The following is a 25,809-nucleotide window of genomic DNA, read 5'->3' as shown; positions in this document are numbered from 1 at the left end:
CACTTAGGTACTCAACAGGGAATTGTTTTTGAGTGTTGAAACTCAGAGTTGAAAACAAAAAGCAGAAATTACATGAAAGTGGATTTATGGGTCTCATGGCAAGATTAGCTGGTTAAGAAAAATAATAATAATCTTTTCATGCTGTGGCACTGATTGTTAGCAGAAGATGGATTATCACACCTCAGCTCCAAGAGTGGTATTCACCAGCTCCACTACTGTGATATAAATGCCACAGGGCATTACTGACAAAATGGGAGGGCAAAAGTCAGCTTTTCATGGGTGATTACAACTCCAGTCATTTTCTCCTTTTCAGACTACTGATGAAAATTTGACAGAGTAAACAGGAAGTAGTGGAATAGTTGCAACACTTTAGGAATTGGCTGCAACTTCTCTTCATTTGTATAATTTCTCCAAGTCCAGTTTGCCCAAGGCAATCATGGAGGCATAAAAGAACCAGGCAATAAATAGAGAAGCGTGATTAAGAGGGTAAGTTTCAGAATTCAAGAGTCATGCAAAAGTTTGCATACAGTCACTATCTGTGTGATTTTGCAAAGATTTCTTAATTGCTTTCATCTTAATCACTGGTAAAACAGGGATTATAAAACAGATCACAAAAGTGCTGCTCTCAAAAAGTTGTTGTGAGGACAAATGAAATGTCTGTAGTGTTTATCACAGTATTTTTCACTTAAATTGTAATAAACATCATCATCATGTCGGCCTAAATTTATTGTTCTTAAACATTTTGGATTTTTTTTCTCTGTTCTTAACGTTCGCCAATTTCTTCCTATGAATACTAGAAAAAATAATTTCCTTCCAACCTTCTTCATACTATCACATAAAATGTTTAACCTCAAAGTATTAATAGGAGAATTTAGATGTCCTTGAATAACCTGATATCTGGAAGATTTTGTGAGTCTATCATTATAGTCTATATTTACATTTTTAGGAAGTGTCCGAAGTACAAATATTCAACTTAAACAGTAGAGATTTAAATGAAATCCATTTTTATAAAGCTTTACTGTTATATAGTATCCATTAGCCAAATGTGACCATTGAGCACTTGAAATGTAGCTTAAACTAAATTGAGATGTTCAACAAGTACAAAGTACACACTGGATTTCAAAGACTTAGTACATAAAATGTAAAATATTTCATTCACAATTTTTCATAGTGATTACATATTAAAATATTTTGAGCTGGGTGTGGTGGCACATATCTGTAGTCACAGCTACTCAGGAAGCTAAGGAAGAAAGATTACTTGAGCCTAGGAGTTCAAGTAGCTGAGCCTGGGCAAAAGAGTGAGACCCCATCTCTTAAAAAAATAAATAAATAAAAGATATTTTGAATAAGAGTTAAATAAGGTATGTTATCAAAATTAATTTCACTGAGTAATTAAAAATTATATATAATTATACATGTGGCTTACATTTGTTGCTCTCATTATGATTCTACTGGATAGCATTATTGTATAGTGAGGACACAATGACATAAAACAATCAAATAGTTCTCTGGAGGACTAGGTATACCTATAGAATAGCCAGATGACTTGCCCTGACTTCTATTTGCTGCACTAAGATCAATCTCTGCCAGTCATAAACAAAATACAGGCTGCAATTAGGCCAACTAAAGGAAGTGCTTGTGCTTGTTTTTACAACATTTTACTTGGGAATCAAGTTTTTATATTTAAGTCATAGTTTGCCATTTATACTATTAGGGAAGCAATCTTGAATTCTGATTAGCTTGGCGGTAACCTGAATTGTTTCTCTGGGGACAAAGAAAGCTGTGACATGTTTATCTGCGAGGCTTTGGGGCTGCTTGGCCAACCTCAACCTCAATACCTAATTGCAACTGTCCATTCTTCTCTCATTTGTAAGAAGCCATAATACACAGGATGCAAATGTGGCTTACAGCAAAATCCTAAGCCAGAGTGTAAAGAATTCCTCCCTCATCCTCAGGGGGTATTTCTCTGCCCTCCCTCCCCACCAGCAGACAGAGTTTCTGACGTTCATAAGACAATAACATATAAAACATATTTCCATTCTTTGTCAAGCATTTCCCAGTATTCTTAAGCCTAAAGAGGTTAACACCATTTACTCCTTTCTATCTGGCAGGTTATAGTTTATCATATTTTTTAAACTAGCATAAAATAAAAAAGCAGTGAAGAAAGCATCACAAATAATCAAAACTGATCTCTGCATCAAAGAAACATATTTATTTGGACCATTAAAAAGTAAGCTAATACATCTTTCAAAATGAACTGTAATCTCCTACATCATTCCATAAAAGTATACCAAGTTCCAATACAGCCTTTTCACATAAAGCCAGGTGTAATAATAGCACAAATGGAAAAACAATTTCAGAAAGAGGAAATAAATGTTTCTGTACATTACCCATATATCTATTTTTTGCAATCACAATTTTACCCACTTAGGGTGTTAAAAAAAAAAAAACAAACCCTATCCACATAAACTAAGCCACTCAGACATTTAGAAAGCACAGTCCCTGCACTTTGGATTTGTTGGGTGGGTAGGAAATCAAAGGAACCAAAGCTACAATATATCATTTCCTGCAGTGAAGGATATCACAGGAAAATTCAGTCAACAGCTGTCACCACGGAAATTGAAATGAGTTTGGGTTTTTTTTCTCCAGCTAAATCCCTAGTAAATGATATCCAACTTGTATTAGCCCAGGTGATTTTCCCTGCAGTTATTCCAAATGAGAACACAATCAATAAAATTCTGTTTTAAATTGGTTGAATGTAGATTATTTTTCCACAAGCATAAATTTTATTCAACTTTATTTAAAAAAAAGTCTCCGCAGAAAACTACCATCAGACAACATGCAGTATAATGATCTATTTTTCTTTATAACTGGGAGAAATTGTATGATTCCAAGAGGCTAAAATATCCATGGAAACCATACGGGTTTCCATATCAGGTAGGAACTATAAATGGTACAACTGCTATTTTATTTTATGTTTCCCTCATCTTCCCCATGTGGCCCATATTTTCCTATTTATTCCAAGTTATAACCAAAATCCAATGAACTCCAAGATAAGTGAAAGTTGCATCTCATTTTTCTATAAAAATATCTGTACATTTGTCAAAAGACATTGAACTATACCCTTTAAATGGGTGGATTTTTTGTGTATAAATTGTACCTCAATAAAATTGATTTTAAAAGTAAAATACACACATACACCCCTGTAACATATATTCAAACTACAGCTTTACACTGGTATTTTCACCATATAACTTTAAGACCCCCAACAAACATATCTATTTTCATGAGTAAAAATTTTATGTTCCTTTACTCTCTATATTCTTAGTATATATTCTAGTAATATAACGAACCCAAATACAGATGGTTTTGGTTTTGGGTTGGGTCCAGGATAGTCAAATGACTACAATAAAGAAAGGATTCATAATAGGCTAGTCATGAAAAAGTGAGAGGTCGAGGGAATAAAGTTCCAACATCCAGCAAAATTAATACGTTAAAATGATGGACAACGTCTTCCCATTCCCCCACAAATAATTTACACAATGTGGAATGTTACTGAGATGAGCTATTACACATTTATGGCATTCTAGGATAATCCCCTCACATTTGTTCCCCACTAACTGCCACAATGTTTTGGGAGCTTTGGTAGGGGGTGCTGGAACAGTTAATGAGGATTATTATTAAAAGTCACAGTCCAACAGTCACATTACATCCTTTCCTTATACGCCACTTCAGTCTCACATAGCCATTGACAATGCCTCATAATGTTTAAGGGTTTCATTTCATAGATCAAAAGAGCAAGGTATGTAACAGTTTTGTTGCTGGTTTTGTTTTTGAATACAAGTGGTTAACATTTGAATAAGTTGTTGCGGGAAGTAAGGAACCCCAAACAGAGGGACCAGCTGAAGCCATGGCAGAAGAACGTGGATTGTGAAGATTTCATGGACATTTATTAGTTGCCCAAATTAATACTTTTATAATTTCTTACGCCTGTCTTTACTGCAATCTCTAAGCATAAATTATTAAGATTTCATGGACACTTATCACTTCCCCAATCAATAACCTTGTGATTTCCTATGCCTGTCTTTACTTTAATCTCTTAATCCTGTCAGCTGAGGAGGACGTCGCCTCAGGACCCTGTAATAATTGCATTAACTGCACAAATTGTACAGCACGTGTGTTTGAGCAATATGAAATCTGGGCACCTTGAAAAAAGAACAAGATAACAGCAATTGCTCAGTGAATAAGAGAGAGAACCTTAAACTCTGACCGCCGGTGAGCCGGGCAGAACAGAGCCATATTTCTCTTCTTTCAAAAACAAATGGGAGAAATATCGCTGAATTCCTTTTCTCAGCAAGAAACATCCCTGAGAAAGAGAATGCGCGCCTGGGGGTAGGCCTATGAACGGCCCCCCTGGGCGTAGCCATCTCTTATGGTGGAGACTGCAGGGGTGAAATAGACCCCAGTCTCCCATAGCGCTCCCAGGCTTATTAGGAAGAGGAAATTCCCGCCTAATAAATTTTGGTCAGACCGGTTGATCTCAAAAACCCTGTCTCCTGATAAGATGCTATCAATAACAATGGTGCCCAAAACTTCATTAGCAATTTTAATTTCACCTCGGTCCTGTGGTCCTGTGATCTCGCCCAGCCTCCACTTGCCTTGTGATATTCTATTACCTTGTAAAGTACTTAATGTCTGTGACCCACACCTATTCGCACACTCCCTCCCCTTTTGAAAATCCCTAATAAAAACTTGCTGGTTTTTGCGGCTTGTGGGGCATCACGGAACCTACCGACATGTGATGTCTCCCCCGGACACCCAGCTTTAAAATTTCTCTCTTTTGTACTCTGTCCCTTTATTTCTCAAGCTGGCCGACGCTTAAGGAAAATAGAAAAGAACCTACGTGAATATCAGGGCAGGTTCCCCAATAATAAGTCATTGGTAAGAAAAAGAGGGAGCACTTCTGAGATCACACAGAGGAATAGAAAGTACTCTCTGTCCTCCATGATTAGTTCCTAATTGCATAAAGAAGAGTCTTATGTCCCAAAACAAAAGATAAAAACAGCAGTACATTTCTACAAAGATAAAAAGCATTTCTTTATCATAGTTATCCTTTGGAAATAACAGAAAATCCATCAGCTTTTTGTCCAAATTACCATCTCATTCAGTCTCAATATTTAGCAGCTTGGAAAACGGAATTAAAGGTAAAATTTTTTAACCTGACAGTTTCTATAATTCACTCATCCATTCATTCATTTGTTCATTCATTCAAGTGTTTACTGAGGTCCTATTATGCCATTCTTATAAGTAATGGGGAGACAGTGGTAAACAAGATGGCCAAATTCCTTCATCTAATGGAGCTCATACCCTAGGCAAAAAAATACTGAACAAGCAAACAAATTAAAACGATCATTCCAACTAGTGATGTTGCTGAGAAGAAAACATAACATAGTGAGAAAATATTATAAAGCACTTGTGAGGGTGACTTTACATTGGATGATTAAGGACACACCTCAATAAGACCTGAGAAGATGCACCGCTATACACATTTTTGTTTGTTTCCACCACTGTACACATTTGATGACTGTTCCTGGTAGATTGTATGTATGCAGTAAGTCAAGAACCAAGATACCGCTACTAAAAGTGGGCATTTAAAATTAATCTTGTATTATCCTTTCTAGCACTACTTTCCAAATAGTAATTAGAAACAATTGAGAGTGCATTAAACTTTTGGTGAGTCTTGGTAGTCTGCCTTTCCTCAGCTCAATTTATTAATTTTGTTTTGTGTTTACTCTGAGTAAATAAAGGTTAATTGGTTCTGGAATGCCAGGGGGTGCTCTTAGGTTAACTAAACATTTAGACTCACATGACTATGCCATAGACCCCTTGTGGCATCAGTTTACTTGGAAAGATCCAGGACAGGAATCACAGCTTGCTAGCTGGGCAGCTTCAAGTATTCCTCTTCCATGGAATCCTTACCACAGTCCTGCACAGGTGGACAGCTCATTCAGGTACAGAGGCAAAATCCCCACCAGTAGATGTGAGAGCTGCCCTGACTTAGGAGCCTCATGACCCTCAGTGGCCACAATTGCTTATAACAGCTCCATACATATAGCTTTTCCAGGGCTACCTCAGATTTGAAACTCTAAGCCCCACTACTATGATTTTTAAAAAATATGTAATTATTTAAATAAATTTCCAATACAATATGGAACTACACTATCAAATACAGATACCATTAACTAAAATTGGTTGCTGAAATTAAAATTTTAATTAATTAAAATTAAATAAAATTTAAAATTCAGTTCTTTAGTAGCACTAGCCATGTTTCAAATGCTCAATAGCTGTAAGTGGCTATTGGCTACCAGATTAAACAGTACAGGTATAGAACACTTCCATCATCACAGAAAGTTCTATTACATAGCATTCAACAAGTTGCTTTTTGTTGCTAATATATCACCAATACTGCCACAATGCTTTCTCAGGCCTTTTAAGAATATTATTTCCCATAACATCATTATTATTTTGTACTGTTAGTGTTTCATGACTAACACAGTGTAAAATCACTAATTTTCCTTTGTAACTTAACCAGAGAGCGATCAATGTTTTAAAGAAACCCAATGAGTGAAGAATAGGAAATTTAACAACTGCAGATATTAAAACTATTAAAAAAGCATAAGAAATCATAAATTTCACTTTCCAGCAGTATCTTGGTTCTTGACTTACTGCATACATACAAGGCTCCCAGTATCCTGTATCCACAATCCAGAAATTCCTGAGAAACTTTGGAGTCAGAGGACTAAGGGAAATCTACAATGTCTGGTTGGAGATAAGCTACAAGACCACTGTGACAAGCAAAGTTTCATTATTTCCAGGATGCTACGTGCTCTCATATAATCACATACCTCCACTATGCCAAGAGTCATCATGATTTATTATAATTACTTTAGTTAAACTTCTCTTTTTACTGATAACTATTCAGTCCTACAAAGGCAGAAATAAATGTACCCCTAGAACCTAACATCACGTGAGGCAACCAGTAAGAGTTCCTTTAATATGTGTCCAATAAACAATAAATAAAACAAACTCTTAGAATGCTAAAAGGTGTGTGAGCATGTATTACTGAACAGCTCTCACATAAAGTACCTCAGTACATCTCAGCCACTATATGTAACCTCATTACAAAGTCTACTATTTACTGCAGTGTTTATTTGCCTTGTTCTAGGTAGCTGGTTGATAAGACAAGAAAGATTTTTCTATCTTCCTTCAATAGCATTAAAAAGAAAATCAGTAACTTTTTATATTTCTGTTAAGAACTCATTTCTTATACCTTTTTTCAACTTTAAGATATATTAAACTAGTAAAGTAAATTAACTACAAAACTCCAGGAAACGTTAGTATTCTACATAAATTAAGAATGGTGACTTACGTGTAAAATTGATGAAAAGTGATACAAAAAGCTGTTTTCACTCCATACTACCACCTCAAAAGAAAACCTTCACTATAAGAGGCCGAATCAGTGACCCTCCACATATGCTCTAATTCCTGGGTCCTCTGAATGTGTTAGGTTACATGGTAAAAGGGGCTCTGCAGATGTAATTAAGGTTAAGGATCTTAGATGAAAAGATTATCCTGGATATCCCTGTAGTCTGATCTAATCGCACGGGCCTTTAAAAGCAGAAAACTTTCTCAGGTTGGAGGCAGTGTGACACAGCAGCATAAGTTAGAGAGATCTGAAGCATGGGAAGGCTCTGAGATGGGACCCACAGGCAAGGACTTCAGAGGCCTCTAGGAAATCATGGAAAGCATGAGAAGGAATGTGGGCAGCCTCTAGGAGGAAAGACCAGGCTTCAACTGACAGCCAGCATAAAAACAGGATCTCCAACAACTTAAATAACCTTGGAAGTAAATTCTTCCCCAGAGCCTCCGGTAAGGAATATAAGCCTTGCTGACACCTTGATTTTAGCCTGGCAAGACCCATGTCCGATTTCTAACCTACAGACTGTGAGATAATAAATGGGCATTGTTTTAATCCACTAAATGTGTGGCATTTGTTAAGGCTGGAATAGAAAACTAATACACTGGTCACTTTTTATTTTCTTTATATAAAAATGCTAGTGTCATTGCTAAATATCAGGGAATATATATACAATGTACTTACGCACACAGACATATGACACGAGTGATTTTTAAATATTCTAAGGGAGTGTTTGAAAAAATGGCTATAAAGGCTCTAATCTACACACGCTAATAAGCTTTAACATCTGGCTTCCTCAATTCCACCTATTTCAAGTCACTCGTTCACTTGTTAAGAAATCTGCCACTTTCTCACTTGGGCAAGATGGCATTTTTAGACTAATGAACTTCCCTGTATTTTCAAAGCTATACACCACCTAGGCTGCTGCTGTTCTTTGTTCTTATCTCCATCTGATCTGCTGGAAAACATCTATGATGCAATTCCTTCTACATAAAGTTACTACAGTATTTCTTCTCAGTTACTTTGGCTGAACACACAGAAACTGTTCACATTCTATAATTTTTTGCCACAGGTTTATTCAATCCCAAAAGCTATACATATCTGATAAAATGGCAATGGCTAAGTAAAAGTAGATATATCTATTCTTGATTGACTATTATGCAGATACTTAAAATTGGAGTCATGAAAATCAATTTTCTACTTTATTACCTAGTTATAACGTATTAAGTGAAAATTTTAAAAGTTAACCACTTTATAATTAAAGTATGCATCAAGTTCACAAAAGAAGCTTAGTGTTGGTTGCATTAGGGAGGGAGGTGATTTTATATATTGTGACTATACATTTTACCAAAAACATTAAATGACATTAAATTTGTAACATAATCCACATGCAGATACTGCTTCTCATAAGACTTCCTATCACTCTCTTTACTATCTACTTAACTTGCAGCAACTATTCCGGTGCAGCTTTGGGTATGTGTGTGGGTGGGGAGGGGGAAACTATTTATAAATTTTGGTCCTCTTTCCCCTTAAAAATATAAGCACCTTGAGTTAAGGGACCACATCTATTAGTTATTTTGTACATAATCAGTACCAATTATAGTGCCCTTAACACAACGGGCTGATTCTAACAAAATGCTGACTATTCACAAGTATACCTCTAAGAAGGCATTAACATTTTCCATACAGATGTGAAAAAATTGTAATTCAAAGGTGACAATGGAAAACAATATATTCTAATTTATTAATATCTTACACAGCACCTGGAAAACCTTCACTATAATCAGTGAACTAAAAGTTTGTGCTGCTGCATGTAGAAAAGGAAATAAATGTTCAAGGTACTGCCAGAGACTGGAAACAGGTGATGAGAAAGAGCTAACAAACAACTGAAGCATGTGGACCAGGCTAATGAGGCTTTCATTTCAGCCCTCAACTGATGAAGCCCCTATCTACTAAACCATTTTCTGGCGTTTATTTTCATATTTACCACAATAGACACATGAATGCCCACACAATTTCTGATTTCAAAATGAGAACTAATTCAAAAAGAAAACAATGATAGCTGTACCACTTTGGATAGTAAGAAAAGCTTTCTTACAGAGATTATATGTCTGATAAAAAATTTGTGAAAGCATATTCTTTAGAAAAATAAGTAGAAATGTGTGCATATTAACAAAATGTACTGCCTTCGGAAAAGGAATTTTACAAAAGTAGTAATAATACCAACTGAAGGAAGATGCTTTTATTACTTTAAATGATTTTAAAATAACAGTTTGTATAAACATCTGCTTGCAAAATCAGTATGCACTAAAAGTTAATCCATATGATGCAGTCCAAGTACTTACTATAAGTAATACTTGTCTTAGCTTGCTTTATCTTTGTTTGATTTCTAATTCATTCTTGGGCTGAAATATGCTCACAAAATTGTGGTGTGACAAATACACATTTTAAAAATGAGTTATTCTTTAATGACAAAACATTAAATAATAACAATTTTTTTTTTTTTGAGACAGAATCTTGCTCTGTTGCCCAGCCTGGAGTGCAGTGGCGCGATCCTGGCTCACTACAACCTCTGCCTCCTAGGTTCAAGTGATTCTCCTGCCTCAGCCTCCTGAGCAGCTGGGATTACAGGTGTGCACCACCACAGTGGGCTAATTTTTGTATTTTTAGTAGAGACAGGCTGGTCTCGAACTCCTGGCCTCAAGTGATCTGCCTGCCTCAGCCTCCCAAAGTGCTGGGATTACAGGCATAAGCCGCCGCGTCCAGCCAATAATAGCAACTATTACAGTGACTTATAATATGCTGTCCCCCAATGCACTTCATATCTTGAAGTCAAGGGATAAAGGAGGAAGATACATACACTGTAGGTGTTATTTTTAAGGGGGAAAAATTCTCAATCATACAACTAAAAGTTATCACATGTATAATATGGGCTGCAAGTTTTCCTCTCTAGTTGTACCTATTTATACTTCATATTTATAAGTGAGATAATAAATAAAAATAAACATCTTTATCATGCACACTTGCTAGCCTAATGCCATTTTTATAAATATTATCCCATGGTACCATCATTAGGATAGCAAAGATACTTATTTACAATAAACTTCTACATTCATGGGAACATATTCCAAGACCTTTATGTATCTCCAAACTACCAAATCAGTGAACGATATAATTCACCCTAGAAAATGCAGTGATATATAACCATAAGAATGACAGTAAAGCCACAATGAGATGCAGGCTCCTTAGATTACATATCTAATCATATGCAATTTGGTGAAAGCAGAAATAATGATTTATACAAATTCTCTCTAAACTTCATATTATTGTAAGTCTAAGTAAGTTTATTTCTTCCAATAGAAAAGTTCCTGGTATCAATTTTGAAAAATGGTATGGTCTTATGAAATAATTAATTCATCTCTTTTGAGGAGAGGGAAAGGCAGTATTTTTCATTAGAAAAATCAGGTTTTCTTGGCTGGTGCACGGTGAGCACAGTGGCTCACACCTGTAATCCCAACACTTTGGGAGGCCGAGGCAGGCAGAACACCTGAGGTCTGGAGTTAGAGACCAGTCTGGCCAACATGATGAAACCCCATCCCTACTAAAAATAAAAAATTAGTTGGATGTGGTGGCACATGCCTGTAGTCCCAGCTACTCAGGAAGCTGAGGCAGAAGAATCGCTTGAACCCAGGAGGAGGAGGTTGCAGTAAGCTGAGATCATGCCATTGCACTCCAGCCTGGGCGACAGAGTGAGACTTTGTCTCAAAAAAAAAAAAAAAGAAAGAAAAAGAAAAATTAGGTTTTCTTAATGAGAACATCATGAGGCTCCATCACCAACCTGTAAAATAGGGATTATGATAAATAACCATCTACCATCCACACTGGATTGTTCTGAGTATGCACCAAAAAGCTAGATTGGAAAGTACTTTTTAAACTCCAGTCAGTTTGATTTCCTGGCCTATCCCCTTCTACCCCTCCTAAAACATTGCCCCTTCAATTAGTCCGTCTTACTCCCATACTACTCATTTCTGCCTTAACCTGTAAATATGCTCATCTTACCAATCTTAAGGAAAAAATAAAACACTTTCTTCAACCATGAAGCTCACAGATGCAGTCTTTTTTCCTTACATGTCCTCAGAATTAAGCTCTACCAAGAGTAGCCTATTCCCTATATCTCCACAGCCTCATTTCTTATTTATTCCTCAAATCCTCATAAGACTTGGACTTGTATCCATACCATTAGCACCCATCATACCACTATCCTTTTTGGTTCAAGGCTCCTCCCTGATATTTTTACCGGTTTCTCATATCCCAACTCCCGCACTGCCCATCACAAGTCATTTAAACACTGATATTCTGTGGGTTCGATTCAGAACCCTTCACCCTTTTCTTGTCTCTCTATACTCTCTTCCTGGGTGATCTCAACCATTCCCTTTATTTTAACCAAGACCTGCACAGTGATGATTAGCAAATGTCTCCCTGATGTAAACCTCACTCTTCAACTGTGGGTCTGTATTGAACTGCTTACTAAACATCCCCCACATAGGTCCCCACGGGTATCTCAAGCTTAAAATGTCTGAAACTACTGAAATTACCATCTAAGCAATCATATTCATTCCCTAATTGCCTTGTCTTCCTTTCTTTATTCTCCTTCTTAGTTAATGACAATATTATCCCTCAAGTGAGATTACAGTTCAGTCCATTCAGCCTGAGAAAGCTGACTAAGAATAAAACAACAAAAAAAGAATAAATTTCAGTCCAATCTGAGCTCCCACTGTGAGCCACTGTGCTAGAATGCACGGAAACCAAAACAATTAAGTTATGGCCCGATTACTTGAGGAGATAATTCCACGAGGGAGACAGTTCAATTAACAAAATTATGTACATTGTATTTAATTCTGATAGAAAATGATACAAATTTTATAACTTGTTCAAGTGCCTATCTCTCAAATGAAATCAAACCCAACTCCCTGAAAACAGAGATTGTGTGTTTTCTTTAAATTCTAAGCACATAACGGGCACTAAGTAATTAATGAGTGAATGGACGATACTAATGAATTAAAAACACAGTTGTACTGCCATAAGATATTGAAGCACGATGTTTTTCTGTACTTGAGAATTGGATTCAACTAAAACAGTTTGGACACATCACTTCTGCAGTCTCAAAATAATATATATTGTTAAGCGATATTCTAGATTATTTGATTGGCAGTGTTACCTTAATTCTCTTTGAGTCTCTAAATCCTGTAAAATGATTTGAGAATTTCTCTGTATTGCTACTTCAATTTTTACAGGTGTTTGTATTATCTCCCAAATTAGTTTTATTGACAAATTTAATTAAAATGCTACTCATCATTCCTCTTTCCTCATTAGAGGCAATAAACAAAATTAGACCTAATAATGATCTCGGTATCAACCTCCTAATGTCCATCCGCCTCTAGGTAACATTTAAATTACACAGTTCATGCAAATCAATTTTTTTCTAACAAAATTATTATTAAAATCTCTCAAACCAAATAATATTATTTCCTATTTAGAACTAAGCAAAAGGAAGATAAAATAAAAACATTACATTTAGACAAGCAAAAGCAACAATTCAATATTCTTGAAAGGCGTTATACAAGGTTACTTTGTAGAACAGGAAGTGTCAAACTATGCACATCAGCTGCCACCCGACATATACATGTCTCTGACATGGTAATAAAATGAGAAACCGTTTTGTTTAATAATAATAATAAAGCAACAGCAGTGGGTGCACATTACATGTAGCATCCAGTCCTGGTTGCCTAGCAACCAGTCATGAGTGAAATCCACAGAGAATAAAAGCCCTTAAATGAATGTACAGTTTGTGCAACTTTCAAGGACTCAAAGAGATGTGCCAGTAGTTAATCTAAATTCTAGCTGGCAATTACCATACTCAGACGGAGGAAGGAGAATCCATCATTATCTCTCAGAATCAACTGTGAGATTAACTAGAAGCTAGATTCTACCCTTTAGGTTTTTACCTTTTGAACCAGTGGTTTTCTAGGAAAAAAAATTTGACATTATGATTTATAAATTATAAAAACTTTATGCAGAAAAAACAAGAAAATTTCACTAATATAACTTGTATTCATTCATTCAACAAAACATATAATACCTATCACACACCAGATACTGTCTCCGCTATTGAAAATACAAATATGAACATCACTTTACAAGCTTTCAAGCATACTATAATGGAGAAATCAAACAGTAAACAAACAATAACAATATCACAAATTCTGTAATACAGAGGAAGGCATGGGATATTATGAAAATATCTATAAAAGACTTCCAATTCAGACTACGGAGGTGAACTAATTAATGGTCAGGGAAAACTTATCAGAAGAGGTAATGTTTGAGATGAGTTTTAAAAGACAAGCAAAAGTTGTTATAAAAGTGGAGCATGAGGAGAATATAAATAGATTTGCACATTTATATACATCTACAATATATTTCAAATATATATTTCTAAAATATATATTTATATTATATATTTAAAATGTTTTAAAATTAAATTAAATACATTTAAAATACCTTAAAATTATATTAAATACATTTAAAATGTTTTAAAATTATATATATATTATATATCTACAAATTTACATAAATAGAAGTGGCAGAAGGAAAAATATTTGTAACGCCGTAGAGGTGAGTGAGCAAAAATCATGTTGTGTTAAAGGAACTTCACGGCATTTGGTGAAATTAGGATCTCAGTGTTAAAACAGGAGTCCAAAGAGACAGATAGCCCAGGCCTCTTCCAGAAGGACTTCTTATGCCAGGCTAAGAAATTCGGACTTCCTCCAGAATGAAATTGGAGAGGCAGAGATGGGTCTTAAGCCAATGAATAATATAAACACATATGGCAATGCTGTGAAATATATCAGAAAGGGCAAAGCAAGCAGACAAGATGCTATGATAGCAAGAGATATACTTAAGAGATAAAATTGCCAACAGAGTTGAATGTGGCAGGTGGGCATTAAGCAAGAGACTCAAAAATAATTTCTGAGATTGTTAACTCACTAACACAGAGCTCTAGTAAATTTAACAATCATGTATAAATGTTGTTATACATAAAAATGTATGCTATTCAGTCCCTGCTGAAATATTAGACTTGATCAACCCAACAAAACAATTACACAAAGGTTACGACTTCTTCGTAACCCAACAAAACAATTATACAAAGGTTAAAAAGCTGTCTGGGAAGGAACAGTTACTGGAGAGCAGGAAGAAAAGGCAAGGAAAGTGGAGAGGGGAGGAAGAAAGAAAGGAAAAATAAAGAAATACTAAGAAAGAAAAAGAAAACTAAAACTAAAACTTTCTGGTGAAAGTAAAAATCTATCCACACTTCTGAAAGAGAAGTTTAAAAAGAATTTTTCAAAACCATAAAGAAAACACTATTGGTGCTTGACTACATAAAACCTGAATATGTAGGTATGTTGACTAATACAATTTTAGAATTTTAGAAAAAAACTATGTAACAAATACAACAAAGAGTCACTATCCTTTAAAGTATGTAAAAGCAAATAAGATCAGGAGATGCTATCAATAAGTGAGCAAAGAATACAGGTAGTTAATCCCACCTCACAAATAAGGAAAATGAATTATTATTACCAACAAAATGCACAGGATCACAACAGTATCTCTATGTCTAACCTATTAGCAACGGTTTTGACTGCCCTATCTTGTTCAGAGTATAGTTACATGGCAGTCTTTTACAAATATGAGTGTATAGGTAGAATAAGATTTTGAAAAAGAAATATACGTATACACTTAAATCTTTAAAATGGTTCACACGCTTTGACAAAGTAATCCCAATTCTGAAAACCTACCCTAAGAAAATGATCTAAAATACAAATAAAGGTTAACATATAGCATTATTTTATAGTAGTAATAAAAAACTGGAAATGGTCTAAAGCTTCCCAAAGGGAGATGAATATGCTATAGTACAGATATACAAGAAAATATAATGTAGTCACTAACAATAATGTTTTTAGAAAGATTTTAATACTAAGGGAAAAAAATTACAATATTTATAAAAATGGAAAAAATAGTCACATAAACTATAATTTCAACACTAAGTGAAAAACAACAACGACAACAACAACAACAAAAACATAGAAAGGGCAGGGTGCGGTGGCTTATGCCTGTAATCCCAGCACTTTGGGAGGCTGAGGCAGGTGATCACCTGAGGTCAGGAGTTCGAGACCAGTCTGGCCAATATGGCGAAACCCTGTCTCTACTAAAAATACAAAAATTAAACAGGCGAGGTGCCCCACACCTGTAATCCTAGCTACTTGGGAAGCTGAGGCACAAGAATTGCTTGAATCTGGGAGGCGGAGGTTGCAGTGAGCGGAGATCGCACCACTGCACTCTAGCCTGGGCGACAGAGCAAGATTCCATCTCAAAAAATAAAAAATTAAAATTAAAATTAAAAAACATAGAAAAGATAAATATTATTTCTGAGTAGTAATGATAGGTTTTTCCTTTTCCTTTCCTGTATTTTCTAACTTTATTTTTTAAATAATGAGACTATATTATTTTTGTATTTAGAAACAAACTCCATCTAACTCATCTATCCTCAATAAAAGTATGCCTTAACCTTGTATTTACGTAAATAGCTCATTCATTTGAGATCTTTCTGTAAAGTTAGTTATCTCTACTCATTTAACTTAAACTTGTCAAGCAGTTCAGCACACTGTTGTTGAATTAAAAGAGCTTTCTACAGTGCCCTAAAGTCAAGGGTAACAAGTACATGGTACTAAGAACTTCAATTTGAATAATGGAATGAAAGCAAGAAAAAAAAATAAGTTTTTAGTAATTGAAGCGGTTTCACCACTTTAATATACTTTATTCACTTTACTGCACTTGGATTTATAAGCATAACAAGGCTGTGCCTTTAGATTACCTGAGGTGATTGAGCAGAGGCTGAAGTCTTTCATCAGACTGCACAGCAGGCAAGGACCTGGCTGTTAACTAAAAGCAGGGAAGAAAATTAGTAAAAACAGCAAAGGCCGAACACCGAACATATTTGAATACTAAATGTAAAACGAGCTGAAGGGCAAATAGGGAGGCAATACTTAAAAATATAAGGTTCTATTTCTCTTTTTTCAAATCAAGAAATTATATAAAAACCTGACACATTACATGATCAAAGCTAGCTACATGGTTCTAAGGACATAGGGTATGTCACTAAGTTTAAAAGTAAAGAAAAAGGTGAGCAAAACAGAGAGTAAAAGGGAGTGTCCTGAGTTCATGAAAAAGCATTCACTTATGAGACTATTATCTTTGTAAATAAAAAAGGAAAAACTTCTAAATGTAAAACTGTATAACAACCTATCTTGTAGCACCGAGTCCTAAGATGATGAATAAATTGGAAAGATAAATTCTGATTTATAGCTAAGCCACTGTGAAACTGGTTACATACAGAAGTGTATGTACTTTATTCTGTCAGCCACATGACTATAAGGAACCAAGGATATCTTTTAAGTATACAGAAGCAACTCAAAGTATTTAATATTGAAATATGACCTCAAATTGAGCTAGGAAATAAGAAGTCAGAGCCAATACTGTGTACCAACTTGACAGCATATCATCAAAATGTGAATTTATGATCTATTTTATTACAATAATATTAATTATATAACTATGTATCTCTATTTTCTTCTCTGTTCTTAAGAGAATGCCTTTTTAAAAGAATTTGACACAAGGAAATTAACGACATTCTTTCAAAGTAATCAGATAGCTTGAGGTAAACTTAATAAAACATCAAAACAAAAATAAAAGATAAATCTCTTCAAGATTCAATTATGATCAAAATGGTTCTCATATTTTACTAATCAATCATTTAACAATTCACGAAAAAGAACCTTAAGACAAGCAACAAACTGAAAGATATCTTTTGGGTTTATATAGTGTATGCTCTCTTTTTAATTTTTTTCATACATTAATTACAATTTCCTAAAAATGGAAAACATTTAATTCATCAAATCTAATTTTTATATTATGCAAATAAAACTATCATCTAAAAATATCTTTTATATTTTTGAAAAAAAGTTGACCAAAGTGCCATATTCTAATAATAATGGAGAAGCTTTCCCAATTTTGTACAAGAGTCAACATGTCGACAGTTACTAATTTAAAATACAATAGAGACAATTAATCTGCTGCAATTTTAGCACAATCAACAGACTTTCAGTATCCCTGAAAAATACTAAGTATTAAAATACTAAGTACTAAGTATTAAAAAAATACTAAGTAACATATATGTAACATATAAGATGTTATCAAGGTTATCAAATTCTATAAACAAAACACTTTAATACTTTAATACATCCTTTATCTGTTAATGTCAAATCCTGTTACAAAGTGCCATTTTCATTGTTCAAAAGATTTCATGTCTCAGAACCAAAGCTGTGTTCTAAAACAATTTAAATGATTTATCTAGACATTTCAAAAGTCAGTGCTCTGAAAACAGAGCGGACAGAGTGGGCTTTTTCAGTCACTTCTGTCAATCTATATAGTATGCTTTCTAATAGAGGCAAACGAAAAACACCTCAGTAACAGCAAAATATTCTAGACATCTGTTAAGTCCACATAGGAAAGATTTTCACATCTACCCCTTCATCTTAATTTCAGTCTTCATTTCCTTTTCCCTAAACTATTAATACATCTCCACTGTTGTTTCTGCTGCCATTCTTGCCCCTTCCCTAATTTATACCAAGGTCAGAGTGAAATTTTCAAAATGAAAATTAACCACACCCCTAATTAAAATCATGTAGTAATTCCCTCTGGCTCCGAGGGTAAAGTTATTACATCAGTCTTTCATCAGACATTTTCTTAAAATTTTCCTTTTAGGCGGCATTACTGAAACAATAGGCACAGAATGATTGACTGACTATACAGCTTCTGCCAATTCCACAAAACACAATGACAGCACATCAGGTAGAAATTTTCCATAGCTCCAGTTTTCTGGAACACATGTGCTCGATGATTTGAGTTCTCCCATCCTCCCCTTCCCACCTCCAACTTACTTTCGAGATTGAATCTCTGGCAAGAATGATTCCTAAACCAGGGAGAGGCCAATGCTCTGAGTAAAATTATTTCAAGGAAGATTTCTGAGTTTTCCAAAGGTTTTCTTTTCAACTTTTAAAACAATTAGCATTTACAAAAAGAGCATGCATCTCTTCATGTTAAGGATATGAAATAATAAAGCTATTCCAAAGCTCTTTAAAGTGGCAAACCCATCTGCTAACCTTTTGCTGACAGAATGCAAACTTCATTTTAGGAACTGTTGGCTCCATTTCTTCTGAAATTTTTCTCTGAGCTAACGTAGTTACTACTTACATCCACTGGACTGTGAGTGGTAACCGCATCCCTAGCACTTGCAACACAACAGATGTTTAGTTTAGCAAGTATGTAATTTCATTAATTGATAAAAATGAAAGTATATGTCTATGTTTCATAAAGCTTTTCAAATTCCTGCTTTGAGCAAAACTAAATATAAATCAAAACTAAACTAAGTAACAATTATCAAGCCTTCCAAGAAAGCAATACACTGCCACAATGAGATTTTTAGCATTTCCTCTACAACTAGAAAGCTATATCTATCCGGTTAAATCGACTTTGGCTTCCAACTATGTTTTAATTTTTTTTTCTTTTTATAGAAAACACAACAATGTACCGGACACATAAATCACCAAGAATGAAAGAGAAGGAAGATCTATCACAGTTTGCATCTGCAAAGCCTAAATGAGTTGTCTAAGTTTGGGCTATTTCATGAAAACCATCATACAATTTGGCATAACTTATAGCTTATTTCTCATTATTGTTGAAAGGTTAGGGGTGAGTTAAGATGTCCTTTCATTATTAAAACTATATTAGCCCACTGAATTAACTAATACAGTTTCCACTGTTTTTAGACAAGTATAACAGATCACTAACTCTTATATAAATCTCATTTTAAAAATTAGTATTACTGGGTAAATTTTGCCCTTTGACATCTATCTGGTTACAAAAATAATGCATTTTTACCAACTAATAATCCTCCATTAAATGCCAATAAATCAGGTGGTTACTCTAGACTTCACCACTACACAATATATCCATGTAACAAAACTACACTTGTACCCTTGTAAATCATAAAAATAAAGAAAAATGCCAATAAATGTCAAATACATTCAAAGTACAAGAGACAAAAGAGAGTCTGGAGGTGCCTGGTCCAACTTTGTCATTTTATGCATGAGGAAAGCAGGTTCCTCAGGCCATAAGCAACTAGTTGCTGGCATGGCCAGAAGCCTTCACCTAATCTCAGAGCACTTCTGTCTCCTTTGAGTCCCTCACCCCTCAAAACAGGACAGCACTATTCAAGATTCACTTTACCTCACAGATTTTCAGTCTTCAAGATTCCCAAATTTTTTCATGGAAAATTTCTTCACATCATTTGGGATTTGGCTCAAATATCACCTCCTCACAGAGGCCTTCCCTAACCTTTGGTAAAGAGTAACTGATGCTTTACCAAGGGTTTAGAATTTTATTTCTCAAGATATACTATAACACGCACCACCAAAAGACTGACAACAACATAGTTCCTTCTTTTTTTTTTTTTTAAGACAGAGCCTTGCTTTGTCACCCAGGATGGAGTGCAGTGGTGTGATCTTGGCCCACTGCAACCTCCAACCTCCGCCTCCCGCATTCAAGCAATTCTCCTGCCTCAGCCTCCTGAGTAACTAGGATTACAGGTGTGTGCCACCATGCCCAGCTAATTTCTGTATTTTTAGTAGAGATGGGGTTTCACCATGTTGTCCAGGCTGGTCTCGAACTCCTGACCTCAAGTGATCCACCCGCATCGGCCTCCCAAAGTGCTGGGATCGTACACATGAGCCACTGCACCCAGCCATAGTTCCTTCCTTCTAATCTATGTCTCTCTGATTTTTGGTGGAGGGGGCTGGGTCACTAAATGATTGTTAGAAATAAAGCAGAAATATTGACTAAATCTATACTTTCCCAACAAAGGTTTGGTAAAGCAGTAGGTATTCCCTAACCCTTCGTAAAGCAGCAGGGTATTCTAGCTATTACTCAGGTACCTCACAACATTTATCACTATCTGAAATTGTCTGATTAATTTTCTTACTGTGTCTTTCTCTCATCACAAGAATATAAGCTCTGTTAGGGCAGGAACCTCTTCTATCTTGTCATCACTTTCCCCCGACTGCTTAGAACAGCCCATGGTATGGCATGCAGTATATACTCACTAAGTTTTGTAGAGTGAATGTAAGGTTTACCCCTCTGAAATATTTCCAACAGAGGCATAAGTTTAGAAAAGTCTGCCCTAGACACCGATCCTTTTGATCTTGTATTTCTAACTGTTTTCATTAGTAAACATGTCCTATCAGGTAGAGGAGTCATACGCGTTTCTCTTTTCATTTCCAGCTAAATGGAATATCCAAGTCCTTCTGTTAAAATGAGGGCAAGTGCACTACCCTGCAATGTAGTTGAAACTGTGACCTCCTGGTTCAAAAGAAACAAGTAACCCAAAACTAGCAGTCCAAAACTCAAATTATGGATTGTCAGCTGAAAAATGATGAGGTTCATAAATCTGGAAAGAGAAGCTTTATTTCTCATAAAGGGTTGCAGCCTGCCGGATGGCCATTCTGATAGACTAGGAAGTGTAGCCTCTGCCCAGAAGCCAGAAACAGACACTTTGAGGGAGGAGCAAAGGAAACAGGAATTTATGCTGAACAGGGTAGCCAAATACACATATTTAATAAGCTATAGGAGGAGTCATGAATATTTATGAGAGGAGAAGCATGCACACATGCAATTAAGGTTCACGTCCCTTCATGAGTCATGTGTAAAAAAATGGCGGCATTAGCGTGATCCAAAGGTGGAGCTTTCCGGCATCGGATAGTGAAGCAGAGAATATGAAAACCCTCACTGCGCATCCTCCATAGACTGGCCTGAACCACTCTGTAGTTAGTAGTCTCTTGTCAGGAGGGAATGTTGGTAAACTGTTGGGTGGAAACTGCAAAGGGAAGGGTGAGCATCAGGTGGTTGGTTGATATCAGGGATGGAATGAGTCTTTCCTGAGGGCTCATTTCTGTTTAGCCTAATGGCAGTTAGCAAGGGATGGGGCATAATGAGGCATGTCCAACCTCCCATTCCATCATGGCTGGGAACTCAACTTCCAAGGTTTCTCCAGGGTTCCCTTGGCTGGGGGGCTTAAAATTTTACTTTTATTTCTTAAAATATGCTATAACAGTCACTACCAAAAGAGTGACCATGACATAGTTCCTTCCTTCTAATCTATGTCTCTCTGGTTTTTGGTGGAAGGGGTTGGGTCACCAATTGATTGTTAGAAATAAAGCAGAAATATTGGCTGAATATATATTTTCCCAACATTATTAAAAATTTCAAACACACAAAGTTCAAAGTCGTTTACAGTGAACAGCCATTTAAAAGAACAAAAAAGCCTAACCAGCCAAGACTGAGACTGCTTCAAAAATTTATATAAAGTAACTAAGGAACAGACAGTGTAAATATGACTCTATTCAAATAAGACTCAGACCAATGTAAAGAAATAGCCTTTGTTATTTAAATCACAATGCTAAAATAAAAGTGTGTGTTTAAACACCTTTCAAGATATTATTGCTAAATAAATAACTTGTAGTTCCTGGTAGGTTAGTTATTTTGAAAGAGAGTCCAAAATATCTGTCTCAAAACACCCCTCCTAAAAAGGACATAAAGTTTTAAAAACACTGAAATCCAGCCAGGCACGGTGGCTCATGCCTGTATTCCCAGAACTTTGGGAGGCCAAGGCGAGTGGATCACCTGAGGTCAGGAGTTTGAGACCAGCCTGGACAAGATGGTGAAACCCCATCTCTACTAAAAATACAAAAACTAGCTCGGCGTGGTGGCGGGCGCCTGTAATCCCAGCTACTCAGGAGGCTGAGGCAGGATAATCGCTTGAACCTGGGAGGCAGAGGTTGTAGTGAGCAGAGATCACACCACTGTAGTCCAGCCTGGCTGACAAGAGCAAAACTCTGTCTCCAAAAAAAAAAAAAAAAAAAAAAACAAAACTGAAATCCAATAGTAATAATAAGGTAAATCTACTCAAATATAGAAAAATCTGGATATAAACCATGCTTGTCATATCTTTTCAAGAGTAAAGCAAACAGAAAATATTTTTTCTTTTTAGACTTCCCTCTTAAATTAGATCTGTTTAATATAGCTAAAAATAAACTTGATCAGGATGGAAAAGGTAATTGTTAGAATTACATTCTCTATTCAATAACACTTTTTAACAAGTGGGGTAGGAAGCAATTTTGGTTGCACGTAGGAAAAGCAAGAGGAAAGGAGACTAGGGAGAGTGAAAGCTTTGGTTTTATCAAAGATATTCTCATCCTTTCCTTGGATTCAATGCAAGAAAGTTCTGAAGCAAATACAACCCTCTAAATTTATGCCGAGGAAGAAGTAAAGCTCTGGAGACTGAATCACTTAACATGTTTGCAATTCTGTTTCTTAGATTTTAGCTTATCTCTCTTTTCATTGTATTGGTTCTGTAAATAACTAGGAGAGACCAAACCTCCCTGCTTCCAATCACTGACCTTTGTTACAGATTAACTGGCCTTCTTTATTGTCCTTACCTAACTCAGACCAGATGGCACCCAAGACTCCATGACAGTTACATCTTCAATGTGGAACGTTAAATATCTTTCCAGAAAGAAAAAGAGCGCCTTAACTAATCAAATCATTGTAAGTATGCATTAAGCCTAACATAGAAAGATGTTAAAATTGGGTTAAACTTCCCTACGTTTTGTCTATATAAGCAATCCTATGCTTTTACACTTTGGAACACTGCCTTCCATTCTTTGGAGTCTGTGTTTCCCCTGTGGCTAGTCCAAACTTTTTGCTTGAGTAAACCTTCTTTCAACTAGACTCTGACCCTTTTGATTATTTTAGGTTGACAATATGTCGACACTGGTTAATTCCTAGAGGTAAATACACGAATGTTCTACTATTTTGCATACATTTGTGTTTGCAATAGTTCAAGAGAGGCAGAGAGTGAAAACTGACTTATTTTCTAGCAGGGTGAGGAACGGCTTGGAGGAGAGCAAACTAAAGTAGAGGCAAAGAGGTCAAAAGGGTGGCACATGCAGTGATCTAGGGATCCAAGATGAAGAGCCAAATTATGGCAGAGGCAATAGCGACAGAAAGGAAGACATGTACATAAGAAATATGTAAAGGTATGCTCCACAGAACTGACTGTCAGAGAAGGGGAAGATGGAGAGGACGTGCAGGTAGGTAGATAGTTCTATCAGCTGCAAGACAGTGGCTACAGAAGAGGAAGGTGGGAAATGAAGGAAAATTGTAAGTTTCATTTTAGGCATGCTGAATTTGAGGTGCTTTCAACTAACTAAGAGGTAACTAAATATATATGGATGTAGAGATCAGGAGAGATTTACATTTAGATTTAAGTGTTATCAGCAAATAAGTAGCAGATAAAGCCATGAACTGGCTAAACCTTCCCATATTATATGCATAAAACAGGGATGTCCAACTGTCATTAACTAGTAGCTCATTAGAGCAGTATGTTGAGGGTTCATTCTGTAGAGAAGAAAAAGTATTATCTTTCTTTCCCATCACTAGGTTCATGACTGAGAGTCCTATAACAAAAGACAGATTAACAAGAGTAAAGCATACAAATTAAAGTTTTATGTGATGTGGGAGCCTTCATAAATGAAGACCCAAAGAAACAGGGAAACATGTGTTTTTTATGGACAGTTGTGCAGAAGTATGACTGAAGGACCAAAGGGTATAGTCTAATGGTAATTAACTGGGGGGAACTTAGCAAGTCCTGTTTGTTCAGAATATTCTCTTTGTCCCTGTGTCTTCAGAGATAAGACAGGTTTGGGAAGGGCATATCTCTAATGAAGGTTTTATAACCACCTCAGGAGGAGGTTGACTAGGGTTTATGGCCTGCTTCAGAAGAGAAGGAGCCAGGAGAAGGTGAAAATGACCTCCTTGTTTCTGTTGTTCCCTCAAGAAGTATGTCCTAAATGCCATCAGTTACAAGCCACATCAAGGAAACAGTACAGATTGAAATGTCTGCTCTGGATAAGGAATGGGAGATTAGAAATATCTGTCAGGCATGTGCCATTCTTAGCTGGAACAAGAAATTTTGCCGATAGACTTGAAGTTGTGTAACATTGATTTTAAGCAATTATAGATTAGTTAGAAAGCGTAACCAGTAGCTCCTATAAATCTTGTTGTACATCTAGAATAAATGAATTTCACTTTGTGAAAAAATGTTCCTCTGCCTCCAGCTATGAAGCTGACTGTTGCTCTTAAAACCCCCTAAAGGATATTCTGCTGTTAGCCAATTGCTATTTTGAAGTAGAATTGTTTGAAAGGATTGAAAAGGGCCTGTAGGAAGAACATATTTTTCATGATTTTCTTTTTCAAATGATGAGCACGAAGGGAGGGAACAAGAATACACAAGGAGGTAAATACGTAAGCAAATATGGTAAATGGTTCTTAAAGAGTCAACAGACATTTTAAAAGCAAAGGTGGCCCAATCTGTTGAAAATTAAGAACAAGAGGGTGGCTTCATTTTAAAATAATAAACCCCTTCTCTGAACTGTTCACCCAACACTGGTGAAATCAAAACACATAAAAATGACAGGAAAACAATGCTCACTTGGAAAATATTGCTCAATTTTGTTCTCTGGTGTTTTTACCCTCTACCACTCACTTCAGCTTCCTTACAAAAACTCAAGAGGAATGACAATTCCTCTTGAATTGTCATCAAGAAATCCAAGACAGGTAATCAGTACAATTTAGGTCCCTTGTTTTCATTTAATATTGCCTATTGAAAGAACCAGAATAGTACTCTCTTACAGTGGTATTAGGGCAGTGGCATTTATTATTTACAAATGACAAAGAGATAAATATTATTTATTATGTAAAATGACAAAGAACCAAATTTAGGTTTATTTTAATGGAAAATAAATAAGGAATATTTTTCAAAATGTCTTTGCATTCTCCTCATTTCATACAAGATTTGAGATGGCTCCTACTGCATTTTATAACTCCCAAGAGTGCCAACTCAAAATCTAGAATGCCAACACTTTTCTAGTAAATTAAAGATGCATAGGTTATGCTTATGTATGTATTCTAAGAGATAAACAATTTATAGATCAGGAAAATTTTTTTAAATAATCAAAAGGCAACAATTTATTTAAACAGACCTCACAGCAACAAAAAGATATAGCTTTAGAGAGAACAGGTTGTTCAACAGAACTATCACTTTT

At 35.7% G+C, this 25,809-nt stretch overlaps 1 pseudogene, besides 2 other annotated features; it reads right to left on the bottom strand.

Annotated features, from left to right (window-relative positions):
* The window catches only part of PRIM2BP (primase 2B, pseudogene), a 264,192-nt pseudogene that overhangs the window by 128,905 nt on the left and 109,478 nt on the right, over positions 1–25,809 (bottom strand).
* Positions 4,015–4,928: an enhancer, noted in NCBI's record as "OCT4-NANOG-H3K27ac hESC enhancer chr6:57383839-57384752 (GRCh37/hg19 assembly coordinates)". NCBI's record gives its function as "activates a minimal SCP1, AML or CMV promoter by ChIP-STARR-seq in primed H9 embryonic stem cells {active_cell/tissue: H9 hESC(primed)}" and the evidence as "EXISTENCE:reporter gene assay evidence [ECO:0000049][PMID:30033119]".
* Positions 7,753–8,311: an enhancer, noted in NCBI's record as "H3K27ac-H3K4me1 hESC enhancer chr6:57380456-57381014 (GRCh37/hg19 assembly coordinates)". NCBI's record gives its function as "activates a minimal SCP1, AML or CMV promoter by ChIP-STARR-seq in naive H9 embryonic stem cells {active_cell/tissue: H9 hESC(naive)}" and the evidence as "EXISTENCE:reporter gene assay evidence [ECO:0000049][PMID:30033119]".

The sequence above is a fragment of the Homo sapiens genome, chromosome 6, assembly GCF_000001405.40.
Source record: "Homo sapiens chromosome 6, GRCh38.p14 Primary Assembly".
Taxonomy (NCBI): Eukaryota; Metazoa; Chordata; class Mammalia; order Primates; family Hominidae; genus Homo; species Homo sapiens.
Note: the sequence above shows the minus strand (reverse complement) of the source record. Positions and strands in the feature narration are given on the sequence as shown.